This window comes from Homo sapiens, chromosome 5, assembly GCF_000001405.40.
Source record: "Homo sapiens chromosome 5, GRCh38.p14 Primary Assembly".
In the NCBI taxonomy this organism is placed as follows: Eukaryota; Metazoa; Chordata; class Mammalia; order Primates; family Hominidae; genus Homo; species Homo sapiens.
The window spans coordinates 159,520,567-159,544,910 of NC_000005.10; the positions used below are offsets into that span (position 1 = coordinate 159,520,567).

Here is a 24,344-nt window from a genome sequence, read left to right on the forward strand (position 1 = left end):
GCTCTCAGAATCATGACTGAGACTGAATTTCCTACCAACCTCTGAGTGAGGACTTAAGAGTTAGATTTCATTGGACTTGAAGTAATGCAGCGTTTCTTCTCACTGAGTTGGGAAGCAAAATTCATACCCATTTCCTGGGGTATGGGCACAGGGTTATGAGCAGGATGTGAGTTATGCCAGCTTTCCATCTTAGATAACTCTATTGCCCCCTTTCTGTTCACCCAAAAGCAGTATAGTAGAGTTCCCAACTCATCAACTCCATTCTGACAAACCATCTGGGATCCGAACAGCTGCAGTACCTGGTGCACCTCCCCGCTGACCACTACTGCCGTCGGTGTGATTTTAAAAATCAAATTAGGCCGGGTGCAGTGGCTCACGCCTGTAATCCCAGCACTTTGGGAGGCCAAGGCAGGTGGATCATGAGGTCAAGAGATCGAGACCATCCTGGCCAACATGGTAAAACCCCGTCTGTACTAAAAATATAAAAATTAGCCGAGTGTGGTGGTGCATGCCCGTAATCCCAGCTACTGGGGAGGCTGAGGCAGGAGAATCGCTTCAACCCGGGAGGCAGAGGTTGCAGTGAGCCGAGATTACACCGCTGCACTCCAGCCTGGCGACAGAGTGAGACTCCATCTCAAAAAAAAAAAAAAAAAATCAAATTAAAATGGCATTTTTAGAGGCGGGGCTGCGCTGAGCAGTGGAGAGCAGTTAGGGGAGCTGACCCTGGGGCAGAACCCGGGGCAGGGTAGATGTGCTCATACGCTGACCATCTCCCCTCCACCCTGCCCACAAGTGTCCTTTCCCACAGAACTTGAATGTTTGTCACCTCCCTTTTTATACTTCTTGAAGTGCCACCAAGAAGAGATTCAATTAAGTCGACATATTCCTCTGGAAGGTTTAAGGGGTGATCAGTGGGTTCATTAATTTTGTACCAAGACATTTTGGTTGAATTAGGGACTTGTGTCTTACTCCTCCATTAGTAGTAAGAGGGGACCTTCCTTTATGCTGGGGAGAGATGGATGGGCTATTTGCACCTATACTTTTAGGAGCACAGTGGCCTCCTGGGAGGAGAAAGACAACAACTTCAACTTGTTCTCTTGCAGATTCAGTTATGACATTTGTTTGGTGGGTGACCCCCACCAAGGTCACATTGCAGAAAGAGTAATGAGGCCCCAGAAAGATAATTCTCCACGAGGGTAAAGGAACGTGGACCAACCAACTGTCTTTTGCACCAAAAGTGAAAAGTGAAATGAGTGTTGCTCTGGGTCTATGAAAGTAGCTGACCCAGCACCAGTCATAGCCTTTCAAGCAGGTGGACCAGTACAACCTTCCTCCCACTCTTGTTTCAGCCTTGTGTCAACTCCAAGTCTCTGGCTTCAGAAAGGACAAAGGGACAGGCAAATACCATCTGAAGTGGGTCATCTCATTGCCTATTCTTCCCCCATCACACCAGTCTTCATAAAGCAAAATATCAATAAATGTGACTACATAAAATTAACATGTCTTTGTGGAAGCAAATTCCACAAAGTCAAGAGACAAATGATAAAGTGGTACACGATATTTGAAACACATAAAACAGACAGAGATAATTTCCTTATTTTACAAACAGCTTACACAAACCAATAAGAATAAATATGAACAGGCCAACCAAAAAATGGGCAAAGGATATGAAAGGCAGTTCCCAGAAAAACGAATGCAAATATTCAATAAATGAATGAAAAGATGTTCCAGTTTCATCAAATTAAAGACATGCAAGTCCAAACAACAAGGTGCGATTTTTCACCTATCAGATTGGCAAAAATTTAAAATATATGATAATAGTCATCCCTTGATATTCTCAAGACTTTGGCTCCAGGACCCTCCAGTTACCAGAATCTGAAGATGCTTAAGTCCCTCATATAAAATGGTGTAGTATTTGCATATAACCCACACCCATCCTCCTGTGTACTTCAAATCATGTCTAGATTATTTATAATAGCTAATGCAATGTAAATGCTATGTAAAAATTGGTTATACTGCATTTTTATATATTTTTTGTATTGCTGTTTGTATTTGTGTTTTAAAATATCTTCAGTCTGAGGTTGGTTGAATCCATTGATACAGAACCTACAGATATGGAGGGCTGACTGTACTCAGTATTGACAAATGAATGAGGAAACAAAGGCTTTTATTCAGTTACTGTGCAGATAACTGGATGCAATATTTTAGTTGTGCGTTTTGGTAATGTCAATCAATTATAAATGCATCTACCCTTTGACCCATGGGCAAGAGTTTAATTTACTTATACATTCACAGAAGTACATCAGATTATTGATACTAGAATGTTCATTGCAGCATTGTTTGTGAGAGGAAAAAATGGGAAAGGGCCATAATTGGGGGTTGAGTATTCCAAGTATGGTACATTCTTGTGGTGGAATATTATGAGGCCATTAAAAATTTGCTAAACTATTTCCAAACCTATTAAGTGAGTCAGAACTTACTGGGTAGGGCAATGACCAGCAAAAGACACCCCTTGTAGAACAGATGACACATGATAATTGTCAGCCCAATTTATAAGCATCTCATGAGACATGGGCAGTAGGCTCGGGATGCTGCAGCCCTCTCTGAACAAGGCAGAGTCAAAACCGAAATATCTGGGTTTGTTCTGAAACCCCTCTGTATTTATAGCTTGGTGGGATCTAGGAAAACTTGAATCACAAGAATATATTTTCTTTCCAGTCCTCCAGCCTCTGTCCAGTTCCGGTTATAGTTTAAGGTAGAATTGCAGTCTGGGGCAGAAATTGAATGTACCATTTATTATTGAATGAAAATAGGGCTTTGAGAATGTCAGTTCTTGAGAACAAACCCCCAAGGATGAAAGATAGGTCCTTCCACTTTATTTACATCCTGTGATTTGTTTTCAAAGCAGCAGTGCTGACCTGCTCAGGGACAGATGATTGGCTCTTGCAGGGTGATTCTGCATAAGAGCAAGGCAACATCCACGGCATCAGACCACCCTTCCAGGCAATGAACACCAGTAAGAAAGGTGCAACCCTGTCCCATTGGTGATGTACAGCTTCCAGTCTTAGAGCCAGAGTATGCACAGAAAGAGTCGAATTATTTCAAATGAACTCTAGTTTTTTACCTCCCATTCTCTCTCTCTTTTTTAAATTATACTTTAAGTTCCAGGGTACATGTGCACAGTGTGCAGGTTTGTTACATATGTATACATGTGCCATGTTGGTGTGCTGCATCCATTAACTCGTCATTTACATTAGGTATATCTCCTAATGCTATCCCTCCCCCCTCCCCCAACCCCACAGCAGGCCCTGGTGTGTGATGTTCCCCATCCTGTGTCCAAGTGTTCTCATTGTTCAGTTCCCACCTATGAGTGAGAACATGTGGTGTTTGGTTTTTTGTCCTTGTGATAGTTTGCTCAGAATGATGGTTTCCAGCTTCATCCATGTCCCTACAAAGGACATGAACTCATCATTTTTTATGGCTGCATAGTATTCCATGGTGTATATGTGCCACATTTTCTTAATCCAGTCTATTATTGATGGCCATTTGGGTTGGTCCCTAGTCTTTGCTATTGTGAATAGTGCCGCAATAAACATACATGTGCATGTGTCTTTATAGCAGCATGATTTATAATCCTTTGGGTATATACCCAGTAATGGGATGGCTGGGTCAAATAGTATTTCTAGTTTTTTAGATCCTTGAGGAATTGCCACACTGTCTTCCACAATGGTTGAACTAGTTTACAGTCCCACCAGCAGTGTAAAAGTGTTCCTATTTCTCCACATCCTCTCCAGCACCTGTTGTTTCCTGACTTTTTTATGATCACCATTCTAACTGGTGTGAGATGGTATCTCATTGTGGTTTTGATTTGCATTTCTCTGATGGCCAGTGATGATGAGCATTTTTTCATGTGTCTGTTGGCTGCATAAATGTCTTCTTTTGGAAGTGTCTGTTCACAACCTTTGCCCACTTGTTGATGCGGTTGTTTGTTTTTTTCTTGTAAATTTGTTTGAGTTCTTCGTAGATTCTGGATATTAGCCCTTTGTCAGATGAGTAGATTTCAAAAATTTTCTCCCATTCTTTAGGTTGCCTGTTTCCTCCCATTCTCATGCACTGTGGAGATAGTAGTCTATAGCACAGTTCTCAAACTTCAGCAGCTATCAAAATCACTTGGAAAGCATATGAAAAAGAATTTCTGGATCCCATTGCCAGGGTATCTAATTCAGTAGGTCTGGGGTGGGGCCTGAGAATTTGCAAATTCCCAAACCACAACGATGCTATTATAGTGGTCTTGGAACCCTACTTTGGGAACTACCAATTTATAAAGATACTTTATCAATTTTTTTCTCTCTCATCAACAACCCTCACATAATTTAACTATTCTCATGCTTTTTCCTTAAAACTCAGCTAAAAAGATGCCTTCTTTCATAATCACCAGTCCTTGGACCTCTTCTCCTCTTTTCCTTTTCCAAAGCACCCATCTGACAATGGCAGAAGCCTCCATGAAAGGGTGCAGAAGAGGAAAAAACTCAGCAGGAGAAGCCACAATCCTTTTTTCAGATAGGGGGAGGACTGGGAAGTTGATGTGTTAATTTTTGACTTCTCATAAGACAAGCAGACATTCATCGTCTATCAGGGTCTGGGCATACCAGCAGCGTGCAGCAGGGGGTAGCTTTGGTCTCTGAATCTCCCCTGGGGCTGCCTGAGGATGGGGGCAACAGTCCTGTGGCCCCATTCCCAGAAGGAAAATTTTGGCAAGAGAAGAGGAAAAGCGATCCAGAATGTTTGTTTTTAGAAGCATGCTCAGTGGGGCCTGGCTCCCTGCAGAGCCCTATCAGTGCTGCTCCCACTGGCTTCCCCTTCTCCCACTTCCAAAGCCTCTTCTACCTCCTCAGCTGATGGCTCCCTTCATCCAGGGGGCTGCGCTGGTAGGCAGGTCTTGGGCCACACACGCAGTGATTATCCCAGGGGGACCAAAGCTGCTGGAGAAACAGGAGCAGATAAATTCTTTTGTTGGAAAATGGCAGGATCTTTTTTTCCTCTCTCCATTTTTCTAATGGAAAATAAAAGAAAAAAGAAGAGAAAAAAGAAGGAAAGGAAGGGATAAAGGAGGAAGAAAGGAAGGTAGAAAAGTACAGAAAGAATCTGATTTGGAGTTTACTTAGGTAGTAGGAGTTGAATAAACCTTGTCCAAAAAGCTATCCCTCCTCCTTCTCTAGGTGATATTAGTCTGCTAGGTGGAAGCAGCTCTTATCTAAATTCAAAAGTACTTTTCTGGAAGTAGGAGAGAGACTCAGCCCAGCTGTTAATCAAGTGGTAACACAGAGCACAGGATAGATACATAGAGCTTGAGGTGTATGGGAATCCTTTGGGAGTTTTGTGAAATGTAGATTCTACTTCAAGAGGTCTGGGGTGAGACCTGAGGTTTTGCATTTCTAACAAGGACTCAAGTGATGTTGATGCTACTGGTCTGAGGACATTGCTTTGAGTAGCAAGGTCATAAAATACTAAGGGTTAGAAGCAACCTTGGCATACATTTGAGTGCAATCATTTTACAAATGGGAAATCTGGTCTCCCAAGTGGTTATGTGACTTCCCCAAGGCCACCAGATGGTTAATAGCAGGACCAGGTCTAGAACTGGGTCCTTGCACTCCTAGTCCCATGCTCTGTCTACTTCCTCAGGTAGGAACTGAGGCAGGAATATAAAATGGGTGCTGGACACACTGGAATATGAACATTGAAAAGGAGCGTCTGGACCTGAGGAAGCCAGTATGCACAAGTCCACTCTGCCAGTGGTCCCAAAATTGGGACCCAAGACTGCAAACCTCTTCACTATGGAGCTGGTTGGTTGCTACCGCCCAGTCACCTGACAACCTTACTCCTGGCCCATTAGGCAACCCCTGGAAAGAGAGAATTCCATGATACTGTATTCTCAATCAGCATTTGGTTAAAAAAAAAAACCCTTGTGGCCGGGTGTGGTGGCTCACACCTGTAATCCCAGCAATTTGGGAGGCCAAGGCGGGTGGATCACCTGAGGTCAGGAGTTCAAGACCAGCCTGACCAACATGGTGAAACCCCGTCTCTACTAAAAATACAAAAATTAGCCAGGCGGGGTGGCGCGCACCTGTAGTCCCAGCTACTTGGGAGGCTGAGGCAGGAGAATCACTTGAACCTGGGAGGCAGAGGTTGCAGTGAGCCAAGATCTCACCACTACATTCCATCCTGGGCCACAGAGTGAGACTCCGTTTCAAAACACACACACACACACACACACACACACACACACACACACACGCACACGCACACACACACACACACAACAAAAACAAAAACAAAACCCCTTATATAAGTGGACCCGTGCAGTTCAAACCTGTGTTGTTTAGAATCAACTGTATTTGAATTATCCTTATTGACTGAGCATCCTTAAACCCCAAATCCAAAATCTGAAATACTCCTTTGAACATCCTGTCGATGCTCAAAAAGTTTTGAATTTTGGAGCATTTTGATATCAAATTTTTGGACTAGAGATGCTCTACCTGTGTATTATAAATGAGTGGATGTACAATTCCTGAGAGCCTTTGCCACGTCCCAGACCCTCTCATTTTTTACATTGGTATACTCCTCCTCATGGTTTCAAAGGTAATACTTTGCCCAAGACATCTGGGAATTCTGAAATTGGAGGTCAGACTTTCTAGAAAGAAAACCATGTAGTCTGCAGTGTTGATCAGGGCAGACCACTGTAGTGAGCCAGGTTACTACAGGAAGGCACCTGGGATGGATGCGTAAAGACCCGAATTTCAGGCCTGGTCCTGCTGCCTCCTAGCTGTTGAGTGGGTTTCTAGGGAGGCGGTAGCATTCACTCATTCACTCACTCACTCGCTTCATTCAAACAATCAACAGATATTTTATTGAGCACCAGCTGCTGTGCCAGAATTTAAAGACACAAACAATATCTTCTCTGCTCTCAGGGAATTCATAGTCTAGTATGGGAGGTGGATAAATCAACTAATAATTACAATATAGCTATGAGTGGTGCAGGAAACACTGTGTGCTCTGGGAGGGTCAAGGAGGGGCTGTGACGTCAGATTGGTGGGTGGAAAAGCTTTCCTGGAAGAGGTGCTAGCTGGTCTGCGTATTGAAGGAAGATTGGGGAGGGGTTAGGGCCACACAAAAGAGCCTTCTAGGGAGAGAGAACAGCATGACACAGTCTAGGGCCTTGAAACTGCACAGAACACCCAGGGGATTGCAAGCTATTATGTGTGGTTGGATCACAGGGTCCCTAGTGGTGTGATGTGGGTGGGGTCAGGTCACAAAGGCCCTTCTTTACTGAGCTGAGGTCAAGTTTCAGTTAGACAAAGCTGTGGAGATAATGCTGGTATTATTAGTTATAGTAATAATTGTAATAATCATCATGATAGTTACATTCATGAGCCCAATGCTATCATTTGCTCCGCACGGCAACTCTGTGAGGCAGGCACTGATGCTATATCTGTTTGTACAGATGTAGAATTTGAAAGGATGAGTAACTCACAGCCAGGCAGCTGATGTTCCAATACAACAGTATTCACAACCCCATTACATTTAAAGTACCCTTTCATGATTGATATTTTTAAACTCTCTTTAATGTGAAATGAAATTCAAACATAATATAACCCATTTAGAATGTACTTTGAAATATGTGTAATACTCATCTTTATTATAAAGAAAATGTAAAAGAAAAATAATTTAGAATAAAATAATGTGTATTTCGATAAGGAAATGTTCAGACCTCACTATTCTAGAAGCAAAATAATCAATGTGTTTACTTATTATGTAAAACCACCTTGAATGCAGCAGCTCCAGTTGCTGATGGACACCTGTGTGCTGAGAGAGTGAAGTAAATACTATCAGCAGTGAAGCTAATAGTGAACTGATTTTTTCAAATGGTGATCCATCCTTGGTAAAGTTCTGAATGACAAGGTACAATATTCCCTTAAAAACTGGTGGGAAAACTGGGATTTGAGCCCTCATCAGCTAATTCCAGAGTTTAAGCAAATAATTCCTACCTGGGGATGACTGCTCCCTCATGGAAGGGACCTCGTGTCTCAGAGGTACCAGGGGCAGGCTGGCAGGGACCTGCAGAGAGCCCTGGGAGAGCAGAGTGTGGTTTTGCTGAGTCCCAGGGCTCCCCACAGAACATCAGAATGACAGTCAGTCTGCTTTGCTTGCCTTACATTGTTTTCCCAGTGGGTGGGATCTCTTCAATTCTGGGCTTTTGACTGAGTAGTTTTTCCATTCCTTCCATGAAGACTTCCACATTTTATGACCACGCTCTTCCAGGGCTCTAACATTATGTAGAGGTTCCACATATGCACTATGGACTGAATAAGACTCAAAGAACAATGGACTATTTATTGATTTTCCATGTATTTTTTTGAACCTCTATTTTTTTTTTTTTTTTTGCTGACCTATGGTTGCTAACAAAGCACTCCAAAACTTGGTGTACTAAAATAATAATCAATTTTTCAAGACCTTATGGGTTAAATGGGAGATTCTTCTTCTCATGGTGTTGGGTGGGGCACTTAGATACCAGTTGTTCAAACAAGGGCCTTGTTTCTCTCTTATGTGAGTCCCTCCACAGAGCTGTTTGGGCTTCCTCACAGGATGTCTGCTAGATTCCTGAAAGAAACTCTGTAAGTGGCCAAGGCAGAGGCAGAGGTTACAGGTCTTTTAAGGCCCATCCTCAGGAGTTGCACAGTGTCATTTCTGTAGTATTCTAGTGATCAAAACAAGTCATGGAGCCACCCCAGATTCAAGGGGAAGCAAAATAGACTCCATCCTTTGATGACGAGTTGAAAAAAATGTGCAGCCAGCTTTAGTCTACCAAAATCTACTGTGTGCCAGGCACAGTGCTAGGTGCCTGGGGATATGAATGGTGAACAGAATCATACATAATCTTTGCTCCCATGAGCTTATAGTTTAGTGGGGGGAAGAAGAAATCAATTATCCACACCACTAAAAGTGTAAGTAGAAGGACTACAAAGGGATATGCTCAATGCCAGAAGAGCATAAAACAGGGGAACAAAGTCATAATCAAGAATGTCGAGGAGAGTTACCTGATAAAGGAGCACTAGGGCTGACATCTGAAGAATCAGTAAAGTTATTTAAGTTGTATGTATGCCTAGCACATGGTAGATCCTTGACTAATATTTGCTAAATGAATAAATGATGGCATGAGAAAAACTCTGTGACAAGAAAGACAAGGGACTGGGGAACAAAGAAAATGGAGGGTTGTAGTGTGGGATAAGGCCAGTGAAGGGTAGATGGTATAGATCTTTGAAACCACATTGAGTATCTGAGTCTTCAGCCTCAGAGCAATGGGTTTGAAGCCAGAGCAGGTTGGTTTAATAAGTTTTGGGCTCTGAAAAAGTCACCTTGACTACAATGTGGAGAATCAAATGGTTCGGAGGGCTAGGTAGTAGCTGGGAGGAGCAGAGAACGAAAGGAGGAGGGAGATTGGCTAGGACACTCTGCAGTAGACCACACAGGTGGTGGCGATGAATATGGAGATGGAGAAAACTCTGAGGAGATCTATCAAGACTGGGAAAGAAATGGCCCTGTGCTGTGGCCAGTTCCACGCCTGTCAGCCCCTCCGGCCCTGGGAGCCTGTGGAAATCTATAAGTAGTCTACACCAACCTGCGGGCATCTGAGCTCTGAAAGGGAATCTGTAGCACTCTCAAGGAAAGGCAAAGAAAGTGAGGCCAACACAACTCGCTTTTTGCCCTCAGAGCTGCAGTTCAGACTAGGTGCCAGGCGCCTTCTCCCACCTCAGGCTCTGAAGAGGAATATTGATTTCTGCAGCTGAGAATATAATGTTGGTGCTTGCTCTCAGGCCTCTCATTTTGCACTGCTTGTACCCTGGGGGAGGAGAGAGACCATGACTCCTCTGGAGATCAATGGCTGTGAACGGGATCGAGGAGAGGAGACCACGGTTTCTTTATCAGCCTATGCCGTCCCAAGGTGGCCACACAAACAAGGGCCATGCATCTAGGATTCTCCATCAGTGGCACTGTGAGAGTTTTGCTTTTACCCTTTCTATTGGAGAAAATATCAAACTTATCTATAAGTAAACTAGTGAAAGTTACCATTTTACCATCAGCTCCAACAATTATCAGCTCACGGCCAGTCTTACGTCATCTGTTTCCCCAACCTCTCTCCCCCTGCATTACTATGAAGCAAATCCTAGACAGCATATAACTTCGTAGGTAAATATCTTAGTTTTATTTTTTAAAAGATAGGCGCTCTTGAAAAAAAAAAAGCACAGTCATGGCATTATCACACTTAAAAATATTAATAATTACAAATGGATTTGTAATTATGATGCATCATACATTATATGATTATTTGATATCATCAAAAAAATAATATAATAGATGTTTGTTCACTTTTCCCTACTTGTCTTATAAAAAGATGTTGTTATTTGTTTTTGTTTGTTCATTTGAGTCAGGGTCCACACAAGGCCCGTACGTTGTAATTGATTACTGCATCTCTTAGGTCCCTTGTAATCTACAGGTTCTGTCTCATTTCTCTCTTTAAATAATTTTCCTCACCAGTATTTTGGAAAAGAAACTGGGTGGGTTGTCCTGCAGAGTTTCCCACATCTTGATCTTGCTGATGACATCTTTGTGGTGATATTTAACAGATTCCTGGTCCCCTGTGTTTTCTGTCAATCAGTAGTTGGATGTTGAATTTTGATTAAATTCACTATCAATTTCTTTTGGCAAGGCTACTTCATCGGTGGTGCTCTCTTTATCTAGCAGAAGGCACACTGTATTTGATTGTCCCTCTCTGAAATGTGAGCAGTCACTGGTCATTGCTTAGGTGCATTAATTCATTAGGAATTGCAAAATGGTGATAGACTAATTCTATATTCTGCCTTTTTTTGTTAATTAGGTAGAATGCTTCTCTACAGAGAAACTTTCTCTCATGATTATGCTGAGGCATAATTCTCATAGAAAAACATGATTAATATTCAATTCTTTACCCTTTACCTTCTTTTTTTTTTTTCACCAGTTCTCTAAATAATGTGCTGGTTCTGCAGCAACTTCTAAGGGTGACTATGGATGTTTTTAAATATCATGGATTTAAACATACTAGATATCATTTGTAAGTTATTAATTCTCAAATTATCTCATTTTTGGCCAGTAGGAGTCTCTTCATATTGGCTCCTGAGTTCATTTGACAGAATCCTAGTAATTTTTTATAGTTTCCTTGCTTTTTGATATGACAGATTCTCCAGGCTCATTTTGCACATTACCTGCCCCAGACATGAAATGAGTCACTTTGCCAAGGATCCTGGACTTCTTTTAGCAAGAAGTGGTATTTATAGATAGCAAACTAGGCACAAGGAGTGCTCAGTGCTTCTGGATTGCTGTTGCTAGGCCTTTCCTGTACTGATATGCATCATACAAGTAGTTTTTATTGAAATTCAGAATTCCAGGATTTTAGCTACCATCATCTATCATATATATATATATATATATATATATATATACATGTTTCCTTTCTCCCATGTTGAAATTCCTGGTTTTCAATGACACCCACAAAATGATTCATTTGATTTATCCCAAACTACATTCACAACCATCTCAGGCTAACAATACTAACACTACCACCATTAGTATAATTATTATAAATAATTTGTTTTCTCCAGTTCTCTTTTTTTCTTATGCTATATCTTAGTAGGGATGTACAGTCACATAACTGTGCTTTGAAGCAGAGCTGAAGCACTTTAAAGCACTTTGAGAAGTTCTTCTCTATGTGGTTATGTCAATGACTGGTTACAAATTTCTGTTTCGTTTCATTTTACTTTGGATATTTAGGGAGTACTTTTTAAAACAAGATATGTTAAAAGAAGTCTCTGCCATCTCCACTCAATTTCCTCACTCCCACTATAAGTAACCACTTAACATTTTTACAGGTTTTCTATTGCATAGATATAGATATAGATATACAATGTTTCCTGTGGTTGTATGAGTTGTACTCACCACCTCACTTTTCTTGGCTAAATTGTAGTATATTATACAAATCATTTACCATTTTGCTTTCACTTTTTAAACCAATAATGTAACCTGGATCACAAAAAAATGGATTCAAATCCCACCCATGCCACTTACTAGCTATGTGACCTTGGGCCTGTATCTTAAATGCTCTGAGCCTAGTTTCCCTATTTGTAACATCAGAACAATAATATCCACCACCTAGGGTTGTTGAAACGGTTATGTGTGCAAGTGTGAACATGGCAGGTGACATAGAGTAGGTGCTCAATGTATAGTAGCTCTAATGGTTTTATGGATGTTATAATGCTTAATAATTTTTATGCACTTCTCATTTGATGAGAGCCTTGTTCTTTCCCATCAATGTCACATAGTGAAGCCTAAGAGGGGTAGGTGGGGAATTTGAGAATCATTGAATGAGGACTCGAAGAATTAGAATGTTAATACAGTCAAGAACCCTTAGAGACCTGAACAATTGTCCTGCTTATTCTACAGGAAGAGAAATAGATACACAGAGTGACAAAGCAATTTGCCCAAGGTCACAAACCAGGGTGGGGAAGTCTGCTGTTGATGCCTTGTTCAATTATTTTTCAAGGTAACTTTTCTCTAAAACAAAGTTCATCTTCTGCTGTTCATAGAAGTTTCTCTGTGCATTCCTGCGTTCTCTCTGTAAAAGGAGAAACCGGGTGAGGGACGGGTCAGAGAAACTATGCCTTGAAGAAGCGTTTCTTCACCCTCTTGGTATGTAAACACAGCAACAGTCACTGAGGCTGATCCCTATCAGTGAGTAAGGTCTCATTAATACAGTCAGCAGGGGATCCTGGAGATAAAGAAGTTCAAGGAACAGTGCCTTGCCCTCAGGGGGCTTTACAACTATTAAGACAACGTCAAGCTTATTTGAAAACCAAACATGGCAGCAAAAATATGTGGCAGTGTTTAAAATAATCGTTCCTTTTAATGACTTTGTTTTATTTTCATTACAATAACCCTAGGAGATGGCCACTATCCTTGCATCTCTTTTACATGTTAGAAAACTAAGGTTTAAGTAGATTTTTGTGACTCTCCCAAAGTTATACAGCTAATGAGCAGAAAAGCTGCTTTTGAATTCAGGTATGTCTGACTCCAGCTCCTGTGCCCTTTAAACAGATGCTAACAGGGGTGTGATGCATTTCCACTTCAATCCGTTGGTTTTGAGACAAAGAGAAGGATAAAACCTGATAGGGTATTCCAGAACAGTTTGCAATCATTTGATATTTTATTCATCCACTCATTCATTCATCCATTATTTATTCTTTGCTTACTAAGTGCCTTAAGAATCTGAATGCCAAAGCCAGCCTGGGTTTGAATGCTGACTCTACCACTTATTGGTAAGAAGGTGACTTTCCTTCCCTGTGCCTCAGTTTCCTCATTAGGATAAAGAGAATAATAGTAACTACCGTATGGGCTGTTACGAGATTTAAATGAGTTAATATGTAAAAACACTTACATATAGAGCTTTATAATTGCCACTTGTGCCTCTGCTGCTGCTACTGAGCTTTATGCTTGGTGATTTGTATTTTAATGTTAAGAACCAGCAGTCCTGGATACTGCTTTAGCTCTGCCACCAGTGAGCCACGTGATCATGGGCAAGTTATCTTTAAAGTTTCTCCACCTCTGATTTTCTTTTTTGTTTTATTATTAATATTATTTTTATTTTTATTTTTTTTGAGACAGGATCTGGATCTGTCACCCAGGCTGGAATGCAGTGGCACAATCACAGGTCACTCAGCCCCAAATGCCTGAGCTCAGGTGATACTCCCACCTCAGCCTCCTGAGTAGCTGGGACTGCAGGTATGCACCACTGTGCTCAGCTAATCTTCATTTTAACTTCTTTTAGAGACAGGGTCTCACTATGTTGCCCATTTTGGAGTGCAATGGTGCAATCATAGCTTACCGCAGCCTCAGCCTCCTGAGTAGCTGGGACTAACAGTATCCACCACTACAATCAGCTATTTTTTTAAAACTTTTTTTTTTAGAGACAGGGTCCCACTGTGTGGCCCAGCTTCAACCTCCTGGCCTCAAGTGATCCTCCTGCCTCAGCCTCCTGAGTAGCTGGGATTACGGTGCCTGGCCAACCTCCAAGTTTCAAGGTTTAGAGGGGTCTGTTTTCCCTCTTCTCCTTGTTACAAATGTGGGAACTGATCTTAAAAGCAGAGTCTTTTTTTTTTGTTTTTTGTTTTTTTTTTTTGAGACACAGTCTTGCTCTGTCACCCAGGCTGGAGTGCAGTGGCGCAATCTCAGCTCACTGCGACCTCCACCTCCCGGGTTCAAGTGGTTCTCCTGCCTCCAGAAGTCTCACTCTGTTGCTCAGGCTGGAGTGCTGTGGGACAATCTCAGTTCACTGCAACCTCCACCTCCCGGGTTCAAGCAATTCTCCTGCCTCAGCCTCCCAAGTAACTGGGATTATAGGCGCATGCCACCATGCCCGGCTAATTTTTGTATTTTTAGTAGAGATGGGGTTTCACCATGTTGGCCAGGCTGGTCTTGAACTCCTGGCAGCAAGTGATCCACCCGCCTTGGCCTCCCAAAGTGGTGGGATTACAGGCGTCAGCTACCACACCCAGCCACTAAAAGCAGAGTCTTTATAAGCTAGAAGCTAGTTTTTAAAATATCCTATTTTATTCTCAACAGATAGGAAAAGTGAGGCCAATGCATTTTCTATCTTGTGTTTCTCAAAGTGTGATCCTCAGACCTTCCACATTAGAACCATTTGGGCTGTTGGTTAAAAATACAGATTCCTGTGCCTCAGCCCTGAACTACTAAATCACAGCATCTGATGGTGGAACTTCAATAAGTAACTACCTGTTTAATATGGATCTCAGGTGACTATTGTGGGAACTCATGTTTGAAAACTGCTGGACAAGAGAGGAGAGAAAGAACCCCAGCTTTGAGTCAGGAACACTAGGGTAGGGCTCTCAAACTTGAATGTGCACATCAGTCAGTTGAGGATCTTGTTAAAATGCAGATTCAGATTCAAGAGGTCTGAGGTGGGGCCCAAGAGTCTGCATTTCTTTTTTTTTTTTTTTTTTTTTAAATTTGAGGCAGAGTCTCCCTCTGTTGCCCAGGCTGGAGTGCAGTGGTCCAATCTTGCCTCACTGCAACCTCCACCTCCCGGGTTCAAGTGATTCTCCTGCCTCTCATGCCTCAGCCTCTTGAGTAGCTGGGATTACAGACATGCACCACCACGGTGTCAGCTCTCTCTCTCTCTCTCTCTCTCTCTCTCTCTCTCTCTCTATATATATATATATATATATATATATATATATTTTTTTTTTTTTTTTTTTTTTTTTTTTAAATAGAGACAGGGTTTTGCCACGTTGGCCAGGCTGGCCTCGAACTCCTGACCTCAAGTGATCCACCTGCCTCGGCCTTGCAAAGTGCTAAGATTACAGGTGTGAGCCACTGTGCTCAGCCCAAGAGCCTGCATTTCTAACAACCTTCCAGGGGATGCCAAACCTGCGGGTCCATAGACCATACCTTGAGTAGCGAGATTTTGGAGCCCCACTCATGAGCTGTAGAACCTGGGGGAAAGTATTTAACTTTTCTTATATGCAGTTTATTTATCTATGAAGAGGGATAAATGTGATGCCTACATCATAGAATTGTTAGTTGGGTTAAACCAAATAATGTATGTTAAGCTGCTTGTCCGAGCACTAATCACATGGGAAGCTAAAAAAGGTCCTCTGAATAAATATCACAATAGAACTTTTATTATCTGTAATAAAAGTTCTATTGACTCAGACTCTCATGGGGTAGGATGCTGGGAATGTGCATTTTTAACTGAGATCTGGAGGTGACTCTAATGAACAAGGAAGTCGATAACCCTGCACTCTGTACCCACTAAAGACAGGAAAAATCCTCAACTTGATTTGAGTTCCCTAAATCCCACCAGCATCTGGTTTGAAAATGTTCGATTCAGGAAGCAATGTGGTGATACCTTCAATAAAGCTGCAGCTCCCCAAACAGCACAGGTAATGAGAGCTTTCTGAGGCAACTTTCATTACTTCCAAGCAAAGGTCCATGGGAAGGTGCCTAGTCCCCTGAGAGTGTCAAAGATGAACCCAAATCATCAAATACATAAGCATGAAAACCTAATCCTACTATGAAGCATACACACTGGGAGATAAACACGAGAGGTACCTGGGACGGAATGCCGAGTCATAGGCTCCAGGCTCTTGATGAACGGAGATTCCTGTGGGAGAGAAAACCGTTAATAAAACAAACCATTTCCCTTTCTATGTAGAGCCTCTGGCTATAAACTGACCTGGATTTAGATTCTGAGGCTTTCATTTATTAAGTTTGGGAAATGCAATTCAACAAATCTCTAATGAGCATCTATCGTGCCAGGCATGGCACGCGTTAGGTGCAGGGACACAAAAATAGCAAGACTGTGTATATTCCTGGTTTGGAGGTGGCAGGTGATAAGTACCTGTACTAATGAATGAATGAGACCATTTTAGATTCCAATGGATAGGAAGGGAGTAAGCAAAGATATACAATAGAAAGAGACAGAGTAAGTCTGTATTTGGAGAGGATCAGGGAAGGCCTCTCTAAAGAGGTGATAATTTAGCTAAGGCTCCAGCATGAACGTGAATTGGCTCTTCAAAGATGGAATTCTGGAAGAGCGTGCCAGGAGGAAGGAACAACATGTGTGAAGACTCTGAAGAGGTAAAGAGCTTGGCTTGTCGGAATAACTGGAAGAAAACTAACATGGCTGGGAATTGTGTGTCGGTGGATGATGGAGGGAATGGGTGGTGGCCTCAAATGAGGTTGAAGGGATGACAGATAATAATGGGTAACACTTCTTAAGGACTTTTGTGTGCCAGGCACTGTTCTAAGTGCCTTTCTGGTAATACTTCCTCTAATGCTCTAGAGGAAGGACAGGAAAAATACCCAACCTGGTTCGAGTTGTATCTACAACAACTAATTATATCCATTTTACAGATGATGAAACTGAGGCTCAGAATAGTTAAGCAGGGTCAAAGTCAGGTAAGACCTAGTCTACCAGGAGTTACAATGCAATGTCTGTTCCCTGCAAAGTGAGATCAGAAAAGTTAATTTGGGGACCCTTGCCCCAATGCCTTCATTTTTCTACTTCCCTCTCCTTACGTTTTTGGTGATTTACCTTCTCACCGCCAACCCTCACTCTCCAGTTCCCACCCCTGTCAGTCATACAGAATATTAGAAAGAAGCTGAAAGGCTGAAAAACCATAGAGGTAAGGATTCTTCTGCTCATTTGATCTCTATGCACAGCCATTTCGGTTTTGCTAAAAATTTTTCTCTTTATTTATAATGACATTTAATAAAGATTGATTCAAGGCAGTGTGGCACAGTGATTACAGATAAGAAGTCAGATGGAGCAGGTTTGAAGGTCAGCTCTGCTGTTCTTATGTGTCCTGTAGCCTAAGAAGCTGTCTGGTATACGATACATTATTAAAGTCATAAAAATGGGTCAGGAGAGAAATACTACACTGAAAAGTTTCTTCTGTTGTGAGATAATCTTTATTCCAGAAATGTTAAAATGTGAGGGGGCTAAGCATGATGTTTTAAAACAGGAAGTAGCATGTGACAGTGGGATGTTTCCTCTAAACCTCAGGTGTCTTATCTGTAAAATGGATGCAATCACATCACCTCGCTGGGTTATTGTGAGCAGTTCTAGATCTGTGAACACAGGCGGAACAAGTATGTGCTTCAGGCCCTAGCAAGAAAGAGAAGGAAAATGTGAAAAGTTCCACTTTGATGCTTGAGTTCCAGATTTTGTAATGACACATTGGGAAAGAAGCTATTTTTCAAAATGCATGCGGATTTTAAATATTTTAATTTAGCATGTATAGTTGTTCTTATGTTGAATATGGTTGAGGGGTACAGTGGAATCTTTTCTGTGCCCATGTCTTCTAGAAGTCTTATCTAAGCCTTGTTGGGAAGAATAAATGAAATAATGCACGGTGGATGTTCAACACAGTGCCCAGTATATATCAAGGGCTGTGCAAATATAATTTTCATTATTACTACTCCAGGTTGGGGCTTGGGTTCTCTGCTGGGGAGACAGGAAGACCCATAAGTAGGTGACAATCTAATTTGTCACCCAAACTGGCGCAGTTTTGAGAATGCAAGAAAGTGTTACTGTTAATTAAACAACAATGATGGGCATTAACTGGGACTGTCATGGGCAAGCCAGGGTGTGTAGTTTCTGTAACCACAAAGTCCATATATATACTAGCTAATGGAGCATTATCAACAAACCCCACTGACCCTCCCCTCATTTCATGGCATTCAAACCCTCTCCAAGGCATGGACAATAATCTACCCATCTGACATTTCTCTACTGTAGTTGAAGTTTCCTATAACAAAAGATCTTGCCTTGCCCATTTTATTATAATACGATTTTTTTCACAAAAATTTCAGCAGCCATGAGGATACTGTTCTCTGTGATGTAACAGTGAAATTCCTCTCCCATCTAGGGAGAAAATACTTACATTCTAAATTATAATGTCACAAGGAGAAAAAAGACAATTAATTTCAGACTCCACTAACCTGGGGTTTGTATGAACTTGGACAGAGCCTGGAACTGATGCTTCCTTTTGCATTAGCTATTAGTAAAATACATTTTTAAAAAGGCATTTTTTTTTCTTAATGTGCATTGAAGAGAGGCCTAGATACAGTGTTTAGAGGGTGTTAAAACTACATGGTAATAATATATTTTGAGCGCTTGCTATGTCTCAAGCTAGGCTTTTATGTGTATGAATTGATCTAATTCTCCAGACAGCCCTGTAAAGTTGGTACAAAAGCAGGAGGCTGAGGCCTAGAAAGGCTTGTTTCATTTTGCACAATTATTAAGAAAACTATGGAGCCAAAAAACAACCTACTATTCTCTACTGTATCTCAAGAAAAATAAACTATTTTACTTACAGATAATTGACATCTGAGGTTATCAGACTTACCCAGGGCATGCGGAAGAAATAAAACGACATGTAGCTCAAATTTTACCTTTACTATGAAGCCCACAGAACCTTGGACATTTAGCTTATATTCTAAGGTTAAATTTTTCATTTTTGCCTCCCCCTTGACTTTGAGCATCTTGTAGTTTTATGCACATTTGCCACACTTGGTATCTCACACATTGCCTGGCACTCATGTCAGTGCCCATTCATTTGCTTATGCTGATTGTGGGCTGTCTATGTGGCAGGTGCTATGCTGCACGCCAGTGATAAGCAATGAGGAAGACTCACATGGGTCTTGCCCTCACTGAGCTCATCGGCTCACACCCCTAATGCGTCATCGTTCAGTGAATAGTCCTAGGAAGAGCAAACTGAGCCACCAAGTTGAAGAAGCCTTAAGTTCCCTCTAATTTGCCTCATAGTCTCTGTCAGGACACAGCCTTTAGGTTAGGGTAAGAGTGAAAGCAGGGCTCTTGACAAGGCAGGTAAAAATAGTACACTTCTCACCCCCCAGGATGTGTACTTATCATCTGAGGCACTCGTGAAAAACACAGATTTCAGGGCCAGGTGCGGTGGCTCACGCCTGTAATCCCAACACTTTAGGAGGCCGAGGCGGGTGGATCAAGAGGTCAGGAGTTTGAGACCAGCCTGGCCAACATAGTGAAACCCCGTCTCTACTAAAAATGCAAAAATTAACCAGGCATGGTGGCGGACGCCTGTAATCCCAGCTACTTGGGAGGTTGAGGCAGGAGAATAGCTTGAATCCAGGAGGCAGAGGTTGCAGTGAGTTAAGATCACGCCATTGCCCTCCAGCCTGGAACAGAGCAAGACTCCATCTCAAAAAAACAAAAAAAAAAAACCCACAGATTTCAGGCTCTGCTCTTAGAGAATGTGATTTAGTGGGCCTGGGGCACTCCAGAGAGTTGATTTATAATTTATATATTCAACAAGTATTTCCTGAGATCTTCTTATGTGGCAGGCACCATTTGGGACCTTGCAGTTCAGAAGTTAATAAGCTAGAAGTGTCCTTATTCTCAGGGAATTTACATTCCAGTGGAGAAGATGAAGAAACAGATGAATAAAGAAGATGATTGCAACTTTGAAAAAGTGTGATGAAGTAGGTGATGCGTTGAAGGATGGCCTGAAGGAAGGGGTAAGAGACTACTTTATGCATGGAGCTGGGAGACTGGGTCAAGGGAGGCCTAAGTGAAGAAAGGACACTTGAGTTGATTCTTGAACTACGAGAATAGGCAAGTCATGCAAAGAGATGGGGAAGAGGGTCCCAGGCAAATATTCTGAAAGATTGTCATGTTCAAAGAATAGAAGGGAGACCAGTTGTGGGGGCTGGGCGCAGGGGCTCACGCCTGTAATCCCAGCACTTTGGGAGGCCGAGGCAGGCGGATCATGAGGTCAGGAGTTCGAGACCAGCCTGGCCAACATAGTGAAACTCTGTCTCTACTAAAAATACAAAAAAATTAGCTGGGTGTGGTGGTGGGTGCCTGTAATCCCAGCTACTTTTGAGGCTGAGGCAGGAAAATTGCTTGAACCCGGGAGGCACAGGTTGCAGTGAGCCGAGATGGTGCCACTGCACTATAGCCTGGGTGACAGTGTGAGACTCCATCTCAAAAAAAAAAAAAAAGAAAAAGAAACAAAAAGGAGACAAGTTTTGGAATAAAGCAAACTGCAAGATGAGGGCAGAGAGGTAGGCAGGGGCTAGATCCTATCTTCTAGGCCATGGAAAACCGTGATCCTTGCTCTACACTTTGAGAATGAGAAATATTGACCCAATGACTCTGCCTCAGCCAAAGAAATGGGCTCCCAGGAATTTTAGCTTCATGCCTTTCCACCTTCCCAGCATTAACTGTCAGAGTAGCTGCCATGCAGCCGTCTTCCATGCAGCCATCTTTCTCTGTCACTCCCATTACCTGAGGGCTAAGAGCAAGTGTTTGGTGAGGAGCTGTGACAGACAGTCAACACAGTCACCTCATAAACAGGTTATGGCTCACTAAGTAAGTGGTATAACACTCTTTTGGAAGCCCCAGTGTCCTGAGGAAGAGAGAACAGCTGTTTCCTCTGCTCTCATTAAGGACTTAAGCCTTCTTCATATTGAAGAGCTTCCATAAACAAAGCTAGAGATTACTGGACATTCCCACAAAAATTATTTGTGTAACTGAAATGTGTCTGTATAAAGGGGAGCTCTTGGTGTTGGCAAATGGCATAACAAATGTTCTCTCCTGAGGCCTGGAGGGGGCCAGAAGGCCAGAGCAGGTTCCCAAGCGACATGGGATTGTCCTTCCTGGATTAACTTAATTCTAAGAGATGAGTCTTGAACTTGAGGAAGTGAGCCTCCACCTCAAACTTCTGATCCACCACTGATTTTATCCTGCATGTGTCTTCTTTCTGGGCAGCTCTGGGTCTCTTTTGAATTAGAAATGCATGCTTGATTTATCTTTCCCAAGTGGCAGCACACTATTCTTCTTGGGTTGTTCTTGCCTTTGAAACCTTTTTATATTCCCCCAAATGGAAGATTATGGAGAACTCTGGAATCTTCCAGAGAATGCAGGTGACATTAGATGGTTCTTCCTAAAAAGTCTTTTGTAAACACTGTGTTATATATCTTTTAGACTCAGGCAAGTCCTCCATCTTTGTCTCTGAGAACAGCCCTGTCCTTTGGCTGCCATGTCTATAAAATGGGATCCTTGCCTTCCAGGTGGCTATGTTGTGAATGTGTCCCCCAAATTTCATGTGTAACAAATCCCTTGTAAACATTGTGTTATATATCTTTTAGGCTCAGGCAAGTCCTCCCTCATTGTCTCATGTCCTTTGGCTGCCATGTCTGTAAAAAGGGATCCTTGCCTTCCAGGTGGCTGTGGTGTGAATGTGTCACCCAAAATTCATGTGTTGGAAACTTAATCCCCAGTGCAACGGTGTTGGGAGGGGGGATCTGCAAGAAGTGATTAGGTCATGAGGCTCTGCCTCATGAATGGATTAGTGTCGTTATTGTGGGAGTGGGATCCCGATAGTAAGCATGAGTTTTGCCCATTTTTTTCTCTTTCTTTGTCTCTCTTCTCTTTCACCTTCTGCCATGGAATGATGCAGCAAGAAAGCCCTCATCAGATTTGATCTCTTTGACCTTGGACTTCCCAGCCAACAGAACTATAAGAAATTGATCTCTAATCTTTATAAGTTACCCAGTCTCAGGTATTCTGTCATAGCAGCACAAAACAGACTAAGACACTAGCCAAGGCTGACTGGATGAGGTATGAACAAGTGACTCAATATGAGCCAATCAGATTATGTCCTGAAAGCTTGACATTCAGGACATTCAGAGATGCCAGACCTTTCCCTGCTGGCTGCTAGAAAAAAAAAAAAAGACATTGAACTCTAGATCTGTGCTGTCTGGTTTGGTAGCCACTAGACAGTGGCCATCTGAAATGTGACCAATCCAAATTGAAATATGCTATAAACGAAACTACAGATTGGATTTCAAAGACTTAATATAAAGAAAAAATTCAGAACACTATCTCATTAAATTTTTTATATTAAGTTACATGTTAAATGATATTATAAATATATAGATTAAAATATATTTTTAATATTAATTTTACTTTATTCGGCTTCTTTTAAATGTGGCTACTAGATACAAAAGATACAATTACATTTGCAACTCACAAATGTACTTCCATCAGCATGTGCAGCTCTTGATCTTGTCCCATGTGCCTGGAGAAAGAAAACCAATCTACAGAGAAAGAAGGATGGAACAAATGATCAGAGAGATGCAGATAAAAATGAACATGTGTCTCTGAAGAGAGTTAGAGGAGAGAGAAAGAAAGAAAATAAAGAGAAGGAGTGGGGTGAATGGGGGGACAGAAGAGTTAGAATAAGGCAGAAGTTAAGTGACAGAAAGATTCTGCCTGGGTTTCTGATGACATTTCATTTCTTGGTTTCAGTCCATGGAGATGACTGTCAGCACTTCCTATCCCTGGGTTTCAAGAGACACCTCCATGCTCTTATATAATACATTCTCCTTTTTTTGGTTTAAGTGTATTTCAGCTTACTTGCAACTAAAATATATACTTCTTATACTTCTAAGACATAATGATCGATAGATTGCTGAAATGTAAGAAGGTTAAAGAGTCTAGATATCATGATTCAGTGTAGGGCAGACCCCTGGTGCATAGGCTACCACTTTCTTATCCCATACTGCATTAGACACTGCTACTCAATCACAACCTTATGTGTGATCTTATAATCTTTTCAATGCTAGATCTTTGGCCAGCCACCACCAATAGACAAGAGAAATGTCATATGAGGAAAATCCTATTTGTCGTTCTTGGGAAAAATCATTGAGGTAGATGTCATAGGAGACACAGGTTTTTGGTCTTGCTGAAACATGAACTTGTTTTGCCTTTAGTGAAATCATTTTCCTTCTCTGAACCTCAGTTACCTAGTTCATAAAATGGCAATCATAATCATATCTACCCACAGGGTTGTTGTGAGAAGGAGATATAGTAATAGAAATGAAAGCCTTTGGGAAACAGAAGCACAGGTGTGTGTTGCTATTCTGACTGAAGCCCTCGGCATTCAGAGCCAAGTTAAGTCACACCTCCTTTCAACTTAGCCTCAAGACTAAGGAGAAGGACCCTACCATAAGTACCTAGGCTTTGGACGCAATTCCCAGTAACTCTAGTAAATTAAAGGAGGTTGTTTCTAGAAGCCAGCCGGGCACATCAATTTCATGTCTTCTTGTTTTAATTTTCTGCACAGAGGATGTTGGCACTAAGAGGCAGGACTTGACAAAGAAGATTTGGGGAAATGACTCATTTGGAATTTGTTGGCGTCTGAAACTGGTGAAACTTCAGCCTTTGGAACAACAAAAAAAGTGTGTGAGTGTGTGTGTGTGTGTGTGTGTGTGTGTGTGTGTGTGTCCCTAAGTACTCTGCTGTCCCTGCAGCATGTAGAAAGCAGTTCTCAGGGAGGGAGGGCACAATATAACTGGTTCTGGGTGAACATAAGTGATGTTTTTTCTACAGCAGTTACAGTGTTTGCTGAAGGGACAGGACTATGGATTCAGGCAAATGAAATGTATCCATAATTATGGCAAGAATGTAGGGCAGGCAGGTTTTATTTCAAATGGTCATTTCTGCTTGCTTGATAAGTGTAATCAGACTTATGAAATTATATAGTTTAATTTAAAGTTCTGAAAAAAATATGCCCACCACACCCACAATGCACTGCTTTCCTTCCTCAAGCCAAAAGGAGACTGTCATTGTGACCATTTCTGAATTATTTACATGGCCAAAGAAATGTATCTGTCAAATAGTGTCCATC

General features: G+C 41.9%; 1 long non-coding RNA gene across 1 annotated transcript in view; it reads left to right on the forward strand.

The window, feature by feature from the left end:
• The window catches only part of LOC105377684 (uncharacterized), a 114,041-nt gene that overhangs the window by 4,990 nt on the left and 84,707 nt on the right, over nucleotides 1–24,344 (forward strand). The window lies entirely within an intron of this gene.